Source organism: Homo sapiens, chromosome 8, assembly GCF_000001405.40.
Source record: "Homo sapiens chromosome 8, GRCh38.p14 Primary Assembly".
Lineage (NCBI taxonomy): Eukaryota > Metazoa > Chordata > Mammalia > Primates > Hominidae > Homo > Homo sapiens.
In genome coordinates, this window is record NC_000008.11 from 16,982,491 (window position 1) to 16,986,799 (window position 4,309).

The window sequence follows — 4,309 nt, forward strand, 5'->3', positions numbered from 1 at the left end:
GAGCAACCCCTTAACAAGTCCCACAAAGGTGTCAGGGAAATATCGTGGCTCACTAGGTGTAAACATTATCGATCAAAACTGCTCCTTCATTTAGTACCGCATTATGGTATTATTTATATATTTCGGCCATTTAAAAGAAAAAAAAACTGTTAAGGAACTTACAACATCCACGTGTGGTGTGCAGAAGTATTCTGTTCAATAAGAAGTGAAACCATTGAGCCAATTTAATTAAATATTTATCTACCTTGCTCTACTTCAGCTTCTTCAGCCTTAACCCTGTACACGTTACTCATACACAGTAGGTTTGGTAAATAGGCTCAGCTTGGAAATCTTAGAATAGTATTAGTTATAAGTTCCATAAAAATATCTGGATTGGCCAGGTGCACTGGTTCATGCCTGTAATCCCAGCACTTTGAGAAGCTGAAGCAGGAGGATCATTTGAGCTCAGGAGTTTGAGACCAGCTTGGGCTACATAACTAGACCTCATCTCTACTAAAAGTTTTAAAAATTAGCTGGGCATGGCGGCACATACCTATAGTCCTGGCTACTCATAAGGCTGAGGCAGAAAAGATAGCTTGAGCCCAGGAGATTAAGGCTTCAGTGGGCTGTGATCGTACCACTGCACTGCAGCCTGGGTGACAGAGCAAGACCTTGTCTCAAAACAATTTTTTTGAATCTCAACTTATTCTAAAGAACTAGAAGTGTCATACGGGATCCCTTCTCTGTCAGTAGGAAAAGGCTGTGCAATCTAACACTGGGACAAGGAATTACATGCATTAAATAAATTACACTAATAAACACTACAATATTCACAAAAATATCATAATTTAGGGGGTATTTTCAACAGAGGAAAGTGAAATATAACTAGAGGGCCAAGATATCATCTCTGCTAATCTCTGAAACCAAAAGTCTGAAGTTAATTGGGCACAACTTCTGGTTGTAGATCTTTGATGGAAATGAACTGAAATTGAACCACCTTATAAAAACTGAATACTAGATGAAAAGGCCGTTAGAAATAAAATTAAATAAACTTGAAAACAAGAAGAATATAATGCCCCAATAAATAACCAGTTTAGTACTTGTAAAGAATGGTCTTCTAGCTGCTTCAGTAGAAGTGTCCATCTTGAAAGTTTGTGCCCTTGTTATTGATGGGCCAGGTGTCATTATTTTGCCTATTTTAGGCCATTGTTAAATTAGACAGACACAAATTCCCTTCACCCATTTTACTTTGGATAATGACCAAACATAAAATAAAATGATGCCTCAAAGAATATTGCATCCATTCTTTCCCAATCAACAGAAAAGTCGAGGGTGGAACGTGGTAGGACAAATCCTTCATTTGCAGGCTGGAGGGACTCGACCATTTGAAAGGTGACAAAACTGCCTTCATCTCGGAAAATATGGACCAATGTTCCATGAGAATGGTACCAACAAGGCCTGGACCATTTAATCACCAAAAGATAATTTGAATGACATATAAAAGAGTTGGAAACAAACATGTGAGATCTCTCTATGTCATGAAAGATCACTCATGCCTTCTCCTTTGTAATATTTATGTTAAAAAGCAGAGGAAGCTTATATCTGAGTGTGCCAGATGAGAAAAAATAAATTTGATTTAATGTCGTCATTATCAGCACCATCTGTCATCTCAGTAGTAAAGGAAGAAGTTAAGTTACTTCATTCAGGCAGAGAAGTAACCACGCCACAATTATGGGGCATGTCCAAGAATGCATTTGGTTTGAGTAACAGTTCCAAGGCTAGGGTCAGAGATGAAGGCATAAAAAAAGAGAAAAACAGACACCAGCAAATAACTCAGAATGCTGGGGTCATATATGATTAACAATAAATGTTCCATGCTTTGGGAGGCCAAGGCAAGCAGATCACCTGAGGTCAGGAGTTCGAGACCAGCCTGGCCAACATGGTGAAATCCCATTACTACTAAAAATACAAAAATTAGCCGAGGGTGGTGGTGCATGCCTGTAATCCCAGCTACCCGGGAGGCTGAGACAGGAGAATTGCTTGAACCTGGGAGGTGGAGGTTACAGTGAGATGAGATCATGCCACTGCACTCCAGCATGGAGACAGAGAAAGACTCTGTCTCAAAAAAAAAAAAAAAAAAAAAAAAAATACAGTAACTCTTCCCTTGAGTTAATAAATGTATGTGTTGCCTATTTTTGTAAAATACATTACTATACACTTAGTGGCTTAAAATAACATGCATTGATTATCTCACTGTTTCTGTGTGTCAGGAGTTCAAGCAGGGTTTAGTGGGGCCCTCAGCTCAGGGGTTCTCAAACCTGTAACCAGCAGACTACATTTTTATCTTGAGGCTTGACTGGTGACGAATCCACCCCCATGCTCACTCAGATTGTTGGCAGAATTTAATTTCTTGCTGTTGTAGGACTGAGGTCCCCAGCTTGTGGCTGACTATTGACTGAAGGCTGCTCACACCTTAGAGGCCGCCTGCAGTTCGTCACCACTCCTGGTTTTCCCAGCACGGCGGCTGACTTCATCAACTGAGCAATGAGTCTCTAGAGCAAATCTACTAGCAAAGTAGACTCTTATTCAGCATGATCATAGGCATGACAGCCCTCCCCTTTGCTATATTCTATTTGTAGAAGTAAGTCACAAGTGCCTCACAGGAAATTACACAAAAGCATGAGCACCAGAAGGCAGGGATTGTAGGGAGGAGCACTTTGGAATCTGTCCACTACAGTCGACTCCTAGCTGCAATGATTCGTGTCCCTTTTGCATGAAAAGTACATTCACTGTCTCCCAAGTTTCTCCAAAGTATCAACCCATTGCAACATCTGAAAGTCCAAAATTTCATTATTTTAATGAGGTGTAGCATAGACAGGGAGAGTGGAATAATAGACGGTGGAGACTTAGAAGGTGGGAGAGTGGGATGGGATGAGGGATGAAAATGGGTATGATGTACACTACTGTAGTAATGGCTACACTAAAAACCCAGACTTCACTACTACACAATACATCCATGTAACAAAACTGCACTTGTACCACCTAAATCCATAATAACAAAAAATAAACAAATTTTAAAATAAAAAATAGATGTAGATTTGGAGGAGATTCCTGGGGCGTAATTAGTTAAGTACAAATTCAAGCATACTCTTCTCAATCTGTGGCACCATGAGACTACATGAGACCAAAAAGACAAGTTTTATTCCCCCAACACACCCAACACACCCAATGGTAGAATAGGCATAAAATAAAAGCTATCAATATTTGTATTCAAAAAGAAAGAAATGGAAGGTACAAAGGAGTTACTTGTTTATGGCAATTCTCAGATCTGTTCAGAACAATGTTGGGAGTTCCTTGATGAGGTTTCAAGACCTGGGAGTAATCTTCCATGTCCCTCCCTATCTATCTGTCCTACTTTCCTTAGTTTTGGCTTTAACTTTGGGTAGGATTTCCCTTCAAGGCAGCACAGACGGACCTAAAGTTCTAAACCTTTAAGGTTCTAAATCCCTGCCCTCAAAGGAGAGAACCTGACTTTCTTTAGAGTTTCAGCCGGAATACCAGGCAGGACTTTGCCTGGAATGCTTGGATCACATGCCAATCCTTAATTTAAATACTATGGATGCTCAAGCACAGAGGCTCACTCCTGTAATCTCAATATTTTGGGAGGCCAAGGTGGGTGGATCACTTCAAGTCAGGAGTTAAAGACCAGCCTGGCCAACATGGTGAAACCCCGTCTCTACTAAAAATACAAAAGTTAGCAAGGCGTTGTGGTGGGCGCCTGTAATCCCAGCAACTCAGGAGTCTGAGGCAGTAGATTTTCTTGAACCCAGAAGGCAAAGTTGCAGGTGAGCCGAGCTCGTGCCACTGCACTCCAGCCTGGGCGACAGAGCAAGACTTTGTCTCATAAGTAAATAAATAAAATAAAATAAATACTGTGGCCAAGATCACATGTAAGACTGGTCAACCTGGGCCATGTATTTATCTCTAGAACTTAGGTTAAAACTAACTAGAGTTAGTTTTAACTTAGGGTTAAAATAACTGTCTCACTAGAACTGGACAAATTTTAAAATCCACCATCTGGCCACTAAAATGTTTAGTGATATTACACAGCAAACGTTATGGCCCTTCATTACAATGGAGAGATTTTCAGATTTGGCTCCAAGCAACCAAAATTCCATTTACATGCAACTGATGCTCTAACTTCTACTTCAGCTTCTCCATGCCAACTCCTTCACTGCCTCCTAGATAATTAGTTCTCTCATTCTGTCTTTACACATCTGCAATGAGTAAATGTAATTCCACCTGGTTCCCCAGCCCAACAAAAAAAGCA